We start from the raw sequence: 13,850 nt of genomic DNA, 5'->3' as shown, positions 1-13,850 counted from the left end.
TGGTGTCTAGGGCAATTTTTTGAGATATTAATTTTTAATTTGTTCTATTGTTTTTCTATTGTTCAATTCCTAGAAGATAGCAAAGCCTTCATACTCACTTGACTCTGGGAAGGATTGTGTCACAGAGTAAAAGAAGAAATTGCTTATAGACTACAAAGGCTAACATGGAGATAGAAGAACCACATGGAGCTTGGAAAATGGGAATCTCAGTAATAACATAATGGCTGTGAGTCTGCAGGGGTGTCCTCCAGTGCTTTTGTTCTTGTTAAATCCCCAAGGACCTTTGAAGGATAGTGGGGAGGGGAATCCTCCAAATACCTAAGATTAAATTTCCTACTGGCTTGGTAGGATGGAACTTGTAAATGAAATTAAATTTATTTATATTATTATTGTTGTTATAATTATTATTATAATTTATTTTTGACATTAGGCACCAAACAAGACCAATCATAATTTTTGGCTCATAACATACTTGCCATCATTGCTTACTCCTGGCCTTCATTTATTTTATTTCTTTAATTTTATATATTCATTGACAATATGATGAAGTTATATGAATTCACTGCCTGAATCAAGAACTAGAAAGTTATTAATAACAAATATACACATATATGTTCCTCCCTACTCCATTTTTAAAAACCTGCCTTTGGAGTAGCTATTATTTGAATTTTATTTTTATCCTTATTATGCCTTAAAGAAACATTATTGTGTTTGTGTGTATGTGTGTGTAGTCCTAAAAATATTTTGCTTAGTTCAAAATGTATGGATCTTCTTGGATTTGCTCTTCCACTCTTCATTTTCATAATAGGATTCATTCATGTGTTACATGTTGCTTGGTTCATTAATTTCCATTGATATTTAATGTGTCTGTGATTATGCCACAGTTTATTGAAACTCTTGTTAATGGGTATTTGGACAGCTTCCAGACTTGTGCTATCATGCACACTGCTGCTTTCTGGTACACATTTGCTAAACTTCTCTTGGGTAAATACCTAGAAGTGGAATTGCTGGCTCACTGGGTGTGCAAATATTCAACTGTATAAGATAATACCAAATTGTTTTCCCAAGTGATTATTCTAATTTACATCCTGTCAACAATGTGTGAGAGTTCATCAATCTACAGTCTCTGGAATACTTGGTATTGTCAGCTTTTCAGTTCTTGCCTATTGAATGCATGTAAAATAATATTTCCTACTCTTGTTTCACATTTCCCTGAGTACGAGTTAGATTGAGCAACACTTCATATGCTTTTTATTAATACATATTTTATCTTCTGTGAAATGCCTATTCAGGTCTTCTGCCCAGTGTTCATTTATTATTGGCTTGTAGGACTTCTTTACGTATAAACAGTATCACAATTTTAATCTTTTCTATTAAGTGTTTTTGCGGTAGTTTAAGAAATTATTCTTCACCTTAAATTCAGAAAGATATTCATCTATATTTTATCTTATAATATTAAACTTTTAAATTCAACAGCACATCACCATCTCTACACATCATGTAGGAGTTTCTAACTAGTTCCATAAATGAAGAAATGAATTAAAAGTTATAAGGCTAGGAAAGGAAAAAAAACCTGTAATTTTCAGACGACATGATTGTCTGCTTGAAATCCTCCCCAATTGAGCAAACAAATAAATATAATAGGAAGTTGAGCAAAGTGGATGAACATAAGATTAATACAGAAAAGTTGATTACACTTGTATAAATCAGAAACAAACAGAATAATAACTATGAACACACAATTTACAACTAAAAGTATAAAGTACAATACTTAGGAATAAAGCTAATAAAAGATGTATAAACTTGGATGTAGAAAACTATAAAACATTTCTGAAGAATATTTTTAAAATACTAATAAATGGAGATGTATCCCTTGATCAACAGGAAGATATCATTAAGACCTTAATCTTTCTTATACAGATCTACAGATTTAATGTAACTCTAGTCAAAATCCAAAAAGGATTCTTTAACTAAAAAAGGTCCAAAATAGCCAAAATACTTCTTTATTAAATGAAAACATGTAGATGGAGTTGCTCTTATAAATACAAAGACATATAGAGCTATACTAACTGGCATGTGTTATTCACACAGAAAAGAGAAATTCATGCATGAAATAGGATACAGAACTCAATAAAGGACTCATATATATAACTTTGATGGGGTGGCATGAAAGAACACTTAGGAAAGGAGTAATTATTCAATAGTTACAGCTGAAAAAGTTGGTTGTCTACATAGAAAAAGCATGAAAATTGATCTTTACCTCATACACAAAACAACCTTCCACAAATTAGGAATTTAAATGGCAAAGGCAAAAATAACAACTTTTTAGTAGAGTTAATTTGTTTCAGATAAAGTAAAATCATGTGACATTTCGTTTCTGCACACCCAAATTTGCAGTACCATCTTCATATCTGGTTTACTTTTAAGTATTGAGCCCATATTTATTATTGGACACAGACTCTAGAGGAAATCTCTTGAATAAAAAATTCTCACGTTTTTGTTTCTTTGTAACAAATAATGCCCACCTTTTTTCCATTGCTCTCTCATTTCCAATCCTTCTGATTACCAGGAAAGAAAATCCTAAATTAAGTATTCATGTCATTAACCTTTGCAATGTTTTTATAAGAAAAGAAGGGTGTATCCACGGGAGACAAGCGATGTTGGAGCAGTGCTGAGGAAAGCAGGAGGCAGCAAATATGAAAAACTGGATTCTGAGTATGTATTGAGTTCTTACTTGAGGCAGATATTGTATGTTGACTCTCTCAACACCCATTCCAACTTCTTTTTACTTGCCTTCCTCCATTTTGGAAGCTTAAAAGCTAAAAGCTCATCTTTTCAGTTCTGGCCAATGAGACATCAGCTTTGAAAGACTTCAGTACTTTCGGTTAGGGCTGCCTCTTCTCTTTCTTCCTTTCCACTGCCCAGAATGTTATTAGCCATCCCACGGTTGAAGCAGCCCTTACTAAGGATGATGGAGCAGAAGAGCAAGAAGCCTCCTTTCTCGATGGCATCCTTGAGCCCCTACACACTCCCTAGACCTACCTACAACTTTTTGTTACGTTAAGTGAAATAAACCTGTTTCTATTAAGTTACCATTGATTGAGCTTTCTCATACTCATTACTGAATGCAATCCTAATCAAAAGAGTGTATAGTACTAATTCACATGTATGTACCTGAATACAGTGATTATCATTCATTAATATGAGTGCATACAACTTCAGTATACCTTTCTCAGAATTTGACAGTTCCTGTAGACAAAGATTAAGTAGTAAAGATAAACAGGAATTGAATCATACAATTAATACGTTCAAGTAATAGGCATAAATAGGCACTTCTATTCCTCAAAAAGAATAAATGTTATACACTCTGAAGTTTCACAAGAACCGATCGTGAATATGATGACAAAAAATGTTAAAATTTTTAATGGTACTGTCAGCTTTTCATGGGTCACATTCTCTGGTCATGCACCTATAATCTTTGAAATAAATAGTAAATAAGCAAATATAAAATTCTGATTTCTTGGAAACACACTTCTAGAAATATTATGTTGGGTCAATAAGAAAATGAAAAACGAAATTACATGCTATCTGGGAAACAATGAAAATGAGAATACTTCATCCCAGAAGCTGTGATACACAGCAAAAGGGACTCAAGACAAAACTAATAGTATTAAATTTCCTCAATGTTAATGAGGAAAAATAAAGGGATTAGAAATTTGAAAAGAAACACGAACCTCTCACACACACAAAAGAAAAGAAAATAAAGGAAATTTTAAAATATAAACTGGATTTAATAAAATTTAAAAACAACACTTCATAGGAAAAGAAAAAAATAAATCTAAAAGATTTTTTTGAAAACAATAAAACAGATAAGCTGGATTACTTTAAAAAGAGAGAAAACAAAAATATATAAAATTAGGAATGAGAAAGTAGATGTAAGTATGAATATAGAAGAGATTGAAAAGAATTATACAAGACTGCATCTATTTTGACAATGAACTTGGAGACCTAGAGGAGATGGATGATTTTCTAGCAAAAGATAAAATACCAAATTTGACCTAAGAAGATGTAGGATCCTTGAATAGAACAATTACCGAAGACAAGATTGAAAAGGTGAATAAAGATGTACCATTCAAATACACACCAGGGCCAGATGAGTTCTCAGCCAAGTTTTATATAACCTTTAAAGGAAAGTTATTCCAGATTATTTAAACTATGTCAAGCCATAGAAGAAGCTAGAAATCATTCTCATTTATTTTATAAATCTCACGAAATAACAAAACTTTATCAGGTACCAATATAGTTACCAAATAAAATGAAACTCATTTATTAATATAGGCAAAATTATAAATAAAATATTGGCAAGTAGAATATATCAAAAGAATAATATATTATCACAAAAGTAACTCAGGAATTCAAAGGCAATTCAATATCAGTATAAACAAGTTTAAGAGGAAAAGATCATGATATAAACAGTGCTGAAGAGGCATTTGATAAAATAAAGCAATTTTTCCTAATAAAAAGTTAGTAAAATTGGAAAAAAACCTACTTAAATGTCCTAACATGTTTTACTGTATACCCATAGTAAATACCATTCTAAACAGAAAACTAATTCTAAATCATGAAAACTTTCCAATGAAATCAAGAATAAAAATAAATAACTAGCACTTTTTTAGTGTTTACTATGTGTGAGCATGGTTCTAGGTACTTTACATATGTAAATCTTCACAAAAATAATACATAATATCATACAGTACGATAATCCCCACATTGCAGATTGGAACACTGAAGGACAGCGAAGTTGAATAACTTGCCCAATAGCAAGTGGTAAATTTGTGATTCAAAGCTATGCAGTTGTGCTCCACAAATTGTACTCTTAGCCACTATGCTATATGGTTTTTGCACCTAACCAGAGATTCATATCATTGTTACTTTTCAACATTTTTGAAGCGCTCAAAACTGTAATAAAAGCAGAAAATGAAAGAAATGTTAATGTTGAAAAACAGGGATAAATCAACATATTTCAGATTGCATTTCTTGAAAACCAAAGAACATCTAGGAAAATGCTACTAAAGTTAATACAGAAATTTGGTAAGGTAGCTGGACAAAAGGTGAGCAAAATTGATTTCCTCTACTCTTGCAATACAAAACCTAGAAATGGAAAGGGGGGAAAGTATTTTGCTCACTACAGTCAGATGCAGAAACATAAACACATATACACAAATAAAATAATTTTTAAAATTGACAAAACTTTGATAAGAAAAGCATGGGATTGATATGAAAACTATAGTCTTAGAAAATATACGAAGAAGATTTAAACAAATAGAAAAAATCTCAAATTGAAAGATTATTATTTAATATCTCTATCATCCAAAATTAATACATAATTTTAATAAAATTGTAGTAACAAGATATTTTGGGCATTGGATATAATAGTCTTAGCATACATAAAAGAAAAATGCCCCAAAATAGCCAGGAAACGTGTGAAATGAATGAAGAGTGTAGGGGAAATTTCCTTACCAGGTATTCAACATAATCAGTATGGGTATAGGGAGAGACAAATAGTTTGAAACTCAAAAATAAATCTCAGAGTATATGAGAATTTTATGTTTTATGAGTGAGGGATGAATTTAATGGGAAAATGATGAATAATAAATGGTAATATCACAATTGCCAATCTAACTGGAATAAAAAATTTAGAGTTGTCTTTAATTGGCCAGTCTGTAGTTTTTTCAAATGGCAGACCAAATAGCCAGGCTGTTGCCAACAACCCAAGAATTAGCAAAAATATAACAAAATTCATCAAAAGAGGTACTGGTTCAAGCTATGAGAATGGCCTGGGTTCTACCTACTGAGTGGCATAACCATGCCCATTTTTAGCTTTCCATAGCTGGTGCGGGGGTTGAAAAGCTGTTGATTCCAGTGGACACTGTTAGGTTTCAGCTCAGCCAAACCATTAGCGAACTAGGCCCAGGCACTTTGGTGAACCTCAGTGCATGGAGAGACCCATTGAGCCTGCAGTTTCCTTCAGGTGACAGAGTGGAGAATAAAGTTTCTCCCAAGCAAAGAGCTGCCATTTTTTCATGTAATGTTGAGATGTCACTTAAACTGTGCCAGATATGGTCTTCAATATACCATTTCCATGTGACAATCAATGCTTGTTAGGCCCCTCCCATCTTTTTGCTGAATATAAGTTGATCCACTTCAAAATGAAAATATGAGGCCCTAGAAAGTCACAAGGTCTCCATGGCCAGGCATTCAGTTTTAACGAGGGCTCAGGAACAAGCTGGGGTGTTCTTGGTAGCCATTTCAAGGAGGAAACAAGTTTAAAGTCACGAGGGATACCTTTGGGTGGTGACTGTCTCTCTTTGCCAGAGGCTTCACTTGAAAAAAATCATCAGTCTCAGAGATACGAAGTTCAAAAGGGTTATCAGGAGTATAGGGCCCAAAGGTTGAGAGCCAGCCATAGCTTGCTAGACCGCTTCCAATGCCACCTATTGGTGTGGGCCCAGACTCAAGGACGCTGATATAAACATCCAAGTAGAATGCCCAAGTGAGCATATACTGTCTCCAATACCAAAGTATTGAATTAAGGTGTTGTTCTCCTTTTTGGTGGTTGGAGGCCAGAGGCAGCAGTTTTTCCTTGGCTGTCAGAGGCATTGAACATTCTGATTCTGCCTACATAATCCCAAGAAGCCTTATTCACCTAGCAGATCCCTGAATTTTTTTAAGGTTCATCAGCCACCTCTGCCAGCACAAGTATGATAACACTGCAGGTAGAGTGTTTAAAACTGGATCTTCTCACTTGTCAACTAAATAATATGGTCTATATAGCGAAAGCTTTGGCTATCAGAGGGTAGAGGCATTTGTACTAATCCTGACACACCCACTGGTGGTAAATGGTAGGGGAGTTTAGGTACCCCAGGGGGAATATTGCAAGCCAGTGGGCCAGAAAACAAGGTGCTGGCAATGTCTAAGACATTATATCAAGTGTCATGTACAGTAGATGTACAGTAAATGCCATTACAGTTATAAGGTCTATATACAGCCAGGGATTTGAGAACAACAGCTGAATTCAATAAGCCTCAAGCCTCCATTGGCCTTTTACACTGGCCATACAGAGTTATTATTTTGAGCTATTGCACCTCTTACTACCCCTGCTGCCTTTAGAATAAGGCTTCAAAGCTGTGATTTCCCTTTTGCCTCCTGGGATACTATACTATTTCTGTTGGACCTGGAAGGGGACAGGGAGATGATTTGAGGAGAACTTCACAGTTCCCTTTAGCACTTCTCTACATGTTGCTTTTCCCACTTGGGAGACTCCCTCTAGTATTTATGGGATAGGAAATTACAAGCATATAACACCTCAATTCTTACTATACATGCAGATGTAGAAGCAATAGTAACAGTACATTCAATTGGCCCAAAGTTCCTTAAGGTGCCATGAAGTATTTTCTTTCTCACCGTGTACCCAGCCCAAACCCCATTAACTGAATCTAAGTGCCTTTTCCTTCCCCACTTTCAAGTAAGATAGTGATTTGATTGTCTATTGCCAAGATAATCATACAAGTTATAATCCCTCCCACCCTGAAATTCCCCAGGATATTCAAACTGGTCTGTACGGCTTTTGGCTTGCCCTTTGCAACAGGGAGACTTGGCCTAGTCCCTAACCATTTTTCTCCTTAAAACAGCTGAGATAGGGGTCTGGGGGAGGGAGGGGATGACAGAATATAGTGGGAGAGAGCAGCAATATGACATTGAACAAGGTTTTACATTTACATTTGGTTTCAAACAGCACAGCAGCTGCTAGTAGCTCAACCAGAAAAACTTCCAAATTTTTTTGCCCTTATCCCAATCCAAGCCCCATGTTGAGTAGCAAGATCATTATTAGTGACACTATTTTGGCTCTGGGGATCCCTTGACACTACAGCCACATTGTTTTTTGAATGGGACGGTCAGATTTGCACCCTTTGTAGATTTGCGCTTAACTCACACACAAACAAATTTTTAAAAAGAGGTACACTTTAATCTGGGTCAATTTCTGCCCTATTTTTATAACATCTCTTAACATAAAGACATAAAACATATGTCCAGTTTTAACATAAGGAGTGGCAGAGTTTTCCAGAGGAATGAGGCTGATCATGAGAATATATCTAGAGTCCTTTGGGTTAATTTCTCATTCTCCATTGATTCATCAGCACTGTAAAACCAATTTAGGGCAGAAAGAGCCTGAATACTAGTCAATGACTCATCCGTGGTTTTCTCTTGAAGTTTGTCTTTCTCAAGGAAATCTCCCCAAGAAGGTCAAAGGTCTCTCATAGCAGCCAAGACCCACTGAAAAAACTCAGTCTTTTTCCTGCCATTTGAATGGATCTAAGATTGACTTGATGGCCTGCAGAGGGGGCTGAGACATAAAAGATATTCCACCTTTAGTCATTCATCCTTAGCAAGCATTATGCATCTGACACCCTCAACTCCCCGGTGACCCAGCGGAAGCACTAACAGCCTGGTTTTCTGCCACAGTGATTGCATATTTGCCTCCTTTCACACTCCACGTCGATGCTTATGTCTGTCATCTGAAAGGGACAGAACCTTCATATCAGGATGAATCTTAGGACTAGTTGTCACAATGTAGAGGACTTAAGGCTGACAGCCCAACTGGTAAGAAAGTTCACCTACTGGTAGAACAACCTCTGCACCTTTTGGGCAGTCACTTGTCTCTGAATTAATTTCCCAGTACTCATTCTGCAAACATATCCTTAATTTTTCCTCATTAACAGGCATTAAGGTGGAGGACCACTTATTGACCAAATACATTTGGTCAGCATATCATGAAAGTCCTTCAGTTGGTCCAAAAGGTCCTCCCCTCTCTTCCACAAAATCATGGCTCTATCAGCATGCTATCCTTATCATAAAAATTGGTAAGAACTGTGACAAATCTAAGGTTTTACCTGATTTTTTCCTTCCTTACTTCCTTCCTTCCTTTTCTCTCTTTCTTTCTTTCTTCTTTCTCCTTCCTTCCTTTTCTTTTCTCTTTCATTCATTCTTTTTTCTTTCTTTCTCTCTCTGTCCCTCTCCTTCCCTCCTTTCTTTCTGTTTCTTCCTTTTCTTTTTTCTTTCTTTCTTTTCCTTCCTTCTTCTTTCTTTCTCTCTCCTTCCCTCTTTTCTTTCTGTTTCTTCCTTTTCTTTTCTTTTTTCTTTCTTTTCCTTCCTTCTTTCTCTCTCCTTCCTTCCTTTTCTTTTTTCTTTCTTTTCCTTCCTTCTTCTTTCTCTCTCCTTCCTTCCTTTTCTTTTTTCTTTCTTTCATTCTTTCTTTTTTCTCTTTCTTTCTCTCTCTCCCTCTCCTTCCCTCCTTTCTTCCTTTGTTCCTTCCTTTTCTTTTCTTTTTTCTTTCTCTCTTTTCTTTCTTTCTTTTCCTTCCTTCTTTTCTTTCTTCCTTCTTTCTTTTTCCTTCCTTCCTTCGTCTTTCTTTTTTCTCCCCTCCCCTCCCCTCCCCTCCCCTCCCCTTTCCCTCCCTTCCCTTCTTTCTTTTTCTTTTGATAGGGTTCTGCTCTGCCACCCAGGCTACAGTGCAGTAGCATGCTCTTGCCTCACTACAGCCTCTGCGTCCCAGGCTCAAGCCATCCTCCCACCTTAGCCTCTGCAGTAGCTGGGGCTACAGATGTGCACCACCACACTCAGCTAATTTTTAATTTTTTGCAGAGGTGAGGTTTCACTTTATTGCCCAGTCTGGTCTTGAACTCCTGGGCTCAAGCAGTCTTCCCAACTCAGCCTCCCAAAGTTTATAGGTGTAACCCACCATACCCAGCTTGGTTTTACCCAATTTTCAATCTACTATGTTAGCCTGCCAGAGTTTGGTGGTGGTGGTAGAAGATATGAGTCTCCTGGGTTAGAGATGAAAGACAGTTCATTACTCAGAGCAATAGCAATAGCCAGAGTATAGCACTAGCATTTTTTGCACTGATTATCTGAACCCCAATTCTCATATCTGGTGTGGAGAGCCCCAGATGACACCTGCATACACAGTGAGTTGGATTATAGGAGAGAAACTTTGACCTTAGGGAACCTGAATCTTTTTTAAATGAGCAGGAAGTATGCCTGGACTTTGCTGCAGAGGGAGACACTTTATCTTCTAAGAATGTAAACCAACTTGTCTTTTGCTCTAGAGGGAGATATTAGTTCTATCTTTCAAGGCTGTTTCCTATACAAACATCCTTGGAAAGGTAGTATGGAACACAAAGGACATTCAGGTGTAACTCTGAAGATACTCAAGAATGTGAGAGGCCGGGAGCAGTGGCTCACGCCTGTAATCCCAGCCTTTGGGAGGCCGAGGCGGGTGGATCACGAGGTCAGGAGATCGAGACCATCCTGGCTAACACGGTGAAACCTCATCTCTACTAAAAAAAATACAAAAAATTAGCCGGGCGTGGTGGCGGGCACCTGTAGTCCCAGCTGCTAGGGAGGCTGAGGCAGGAGAATGGTGTGAACCTGGGAGGCGGAGCTTGCAGTGAGCCGAGATCACGCCACTGCACTCCAGCCTGGGTGACAGAGCGAGACTCCATCTCAAAGAGAAAAAAAAAAAAAGAATGTGAGAAACCCATGGAGAATCATCTCCTAGTGATGAGTATATATTCTTTGCCAGAATGGAATAAAATTGAGAACTAAAATTTTACAGCATTTAAATCAAAGGAAACATTTAAAAAATCATAAACTTATTTGATGAAAACTGTTATGATTTACAGAGAAGGGTCCATTGAAAGTGTCAACAATTTTAAATATGTAATTCATAAATTTGTATACATTTTGAAGAAGATTTCTGGAAATTTCATGAAAAGGAAATTATAAAGACATTGATTCTTTTTTTTAGAAAAAATTCTAACAATCTGATATTTCAAACAGCTATAGCTCAGAAACTGGTTATTCTCCTAATATTATTTTAAATGTTGAGATAATCAATATAACAAAGTTTTGAAATATTTTCTTCAGATATACACAGATGTCATTTTTATTTTCATGAAGAATTTTAATTTTGAAAATAACTTTTGAATAGAACCATTTATAAATCTACCCATATAATAAAAAAATTGATAATAACATGTTTTCCAAAACAACATATAATTTCAGTTATTTAAGGGTTCCTTTTCAGGATCAAGAATGTCCTCCTAGCTTGGATGAAAAATTATCTGTTCATCTGAGTATGAATGAAAGTTACCTGGTAAGAGGAAGGAATTGAGTGATTACAGGAGACCAATAAAGAGTAGGGAAGTTTTAAAAAGCTTTCGTGAGAAATGTGAAACTGATCTCATACAAGATATGCACAAAACAATGCTGTTCAATTCATTTATGTTTTCACCAATCATTTAGAGAATCATTGAACTTTTGAGTTGGAAACTTAGAATTTACCTACTATAATGTTCAACCCAATGCAATATATTTTAAGACACCCTTTACAGATTTAAATTTTATTTTAAAAGCATTATATATATTTTAAAATAATTTAGGGGGCATGTGAAAAAGTAATATCTTGAATACATTCAACATAAAAGTCTATTGTATTCATACTGTTTCTGTTCTATTCAAAAAATCACTCATATTTTCTCCTAATGTTGACTTTCCACCTTTCAGCTGAGCGTAGTTTTGACTCTCTTAATTAAAAAGCTGCCTTAATTTGGGGCATTTTCTATACCTGCAATAAAGTTAGCTTCTTGATGTCTTCTTCCTTTCCATACATAATTGCAATTGGATTTTAACACCACTTTTGGTTGCTAAGTAATTTAATCATGAAGATTAGTATGATGGGAATATAGCAAAGTTATTAAAAATTGAGACTTTGGGGTCAGTTGGAACAAGGTTTGAATTTTAATTCCACCTCTTATAAGCCATGGGGCTTGAAGTTATTTAATCTCTCAAAGTCTCAACTGCCTCATCAGTGAAATGGGGATAATAATGACAATACTTTCCTCACTGAATGGTTGTTAGGGTTGAATGCTGTGACATACTTAACAGCTTAGCATAGTGCCTGCCACATGGTTAACACTGAATAAACATGATCAATGATGATGAGTATGATGACAATATGAACATAACACAAAACCAAAGATCTAAAAAACTCAACACAGTCTTAATTTTTAAAAAGCCATTAGTATCAAAATCTAATTCTAACTTTATTTTATTTATTAATTTATATATATTGCCTTCCACTTCATGGAATTATTTCAGTAGAGATGCCTAATGACATCTTCCACTTGACTATTTTCTCACCTGAGAAAACCTAGTGTGTGGGAGAAGGGAATGAATGGTCTGAGTGGGAAAGGATGGTACTTGGACAGATGGACAGGAGTACATCCTTTGCCTGAGTGTGATTTTTGCAGCTTGATGATTTTTCAAAAGCTGTTTGCAAAGCTAGGATAACTAATCTGGACCATGGCCTTATTAGTAAAGTCAATATTTTTATCCCTGTTTTACATATAGAGGAACTGAGCCAAGACATGGTAAATGTCTTTGTCAAGGTTATGCGGAAAGTCAGGGCAGAACTACATATTTATTTTAGAGTATTGATTCTAAAGCCAAAGGCATAGGCTGCATAATCCTGCTAATGTGCAAAATAACTGAAAACACACCTTTATATAGTGGATGTTTTAAAAATATAATAATGCAAATATCATTTTCAAAATCTCCAAATTAATGTCACACCTGTGTAATCACTTATTTCTAACATTACGCTGGTGTTAGTTGAAGCATGAAAGAAAACGTATCTGCAAAAAGAAACTACTAATTGTATTGATAAAGCAGCTTTTGGAAAAAGACTAGAGCTGGAGGAAGAAGTAGAGAAAGGATAGAAGAAGGAATTGATTTAATACCTTTAACACATCTGTACCTGATGCATTTTAATATTGAACTGAAATTCATGAATAAAAATTACCGGTGGGGTTTCCCACTGACATAAATGGCAGTACTGAATTTCCTTCCTCGTTTGCAGCTCTAGCTCATCCGGATCTCTATGGCTAAATGAAGGAGGATGCCAGCCAGAGAATTCATCACAAAATGTAGTAATTCTTGTCCAGCAGAAAAGCGCTATTTATTTCTTTGGTAAAGCAGGGTGTGGATAGACAGTTTAATTAGAAGTACATCTAGATGCAGGAAATAACTATATTTCCTTTCTCTATTTTTGTCTTCAGTCTTTTGCTGAGATGTGTGATCGAGCCGCTCCTGAAAACCATTTTAAATTGGCATAGATGGATCTTCCTTGGCTAAATTTAGCAGGATAGTCAAAATTTTAGTAGTCTGTCTCACCCACTCTAAGTTAATTTCCCACTAAGCATTTATGCCTGCTAACTGGCTGTTGTTTGTATGGAAATGTATAATTTTGCTTTCCAAGTGAAGAGTTGGCAGTGGGGTAGAGTAAGCCCCGAAACAGTTCCTATGCCAGGATTAGACATTATTTTCATCTTCTAGGGGGAGGTAAACCAGGCATGTACAGACAACTCTTCTACAAAAGCCCTCTGTAGAACATATTCACTTTCAGTATTGCTATTTCAGATAAATTGCATCTCCAAATACTTTGTATGAAAACTTTCCAGTAACTAAATTTGGTTAAAAAATATTACATTTGGATGGTGGATACAAGTATGTCATCGTGGTTACATCTGATACAATAAAAATAGCCCATGTGGATAACTAATTTAAGAAAGAAAAATCTATCGTGCTTTGGTGCTAATTTCAAATAGTCTGTTTCTGTGCTCAACAAGCCGGATTCTATCACCACTCACAATAGGAATTTGAACTTGACTTGGATAGTAAATCTATTATGGCTATTAACGATCACACTGGAGTCCAAACAGTGCACTGAT

At 35.7% G+C, this 13,850-nt stretch overlaps 1 long non-coding RNA gene across 2 annotated transcripts in view; it reads left to right on the top strand.

The window, feature by feature from the left end:
- The window catches only part of LOC105377876 (uncharacterized), a 90,717-nt gene extending 90,131 nt beyond the window's left edge, over window positions 1–586 (top strand). For both annotated transcript variants that reach the window (XR_001744232.2, XR_942739.2), the window contains one exon: window positions 74–586. This is a non-coding gene — a long non-coding RNA (uncharacterized LOC105377876). The remainder of the gene's footprint in view (window positions 1–73) is intronic.
- The last annotated feature ends 13,264 nt before the right edge of the window (window positions 587–13,850 follow it).

Source organism: Homo sapiens, chromosome 6 (assembly GCF_000001405.40).
Source record: "Homo sapiens chromosome 6, GRCh38.p14 Primary Assembly".
Classification (NCBI taxonomy): domain Eukaryota; kingdom Metazoa; phylum Chordata; class Mammalia; order Primates; family Hominidae; genus Homo; species Homo sapiens.
The sequence above is the reverse complement of the archived record's forward strand: the minus strand, read 5'-3'. Positions and strand labels throughout refer to the sequence as shown.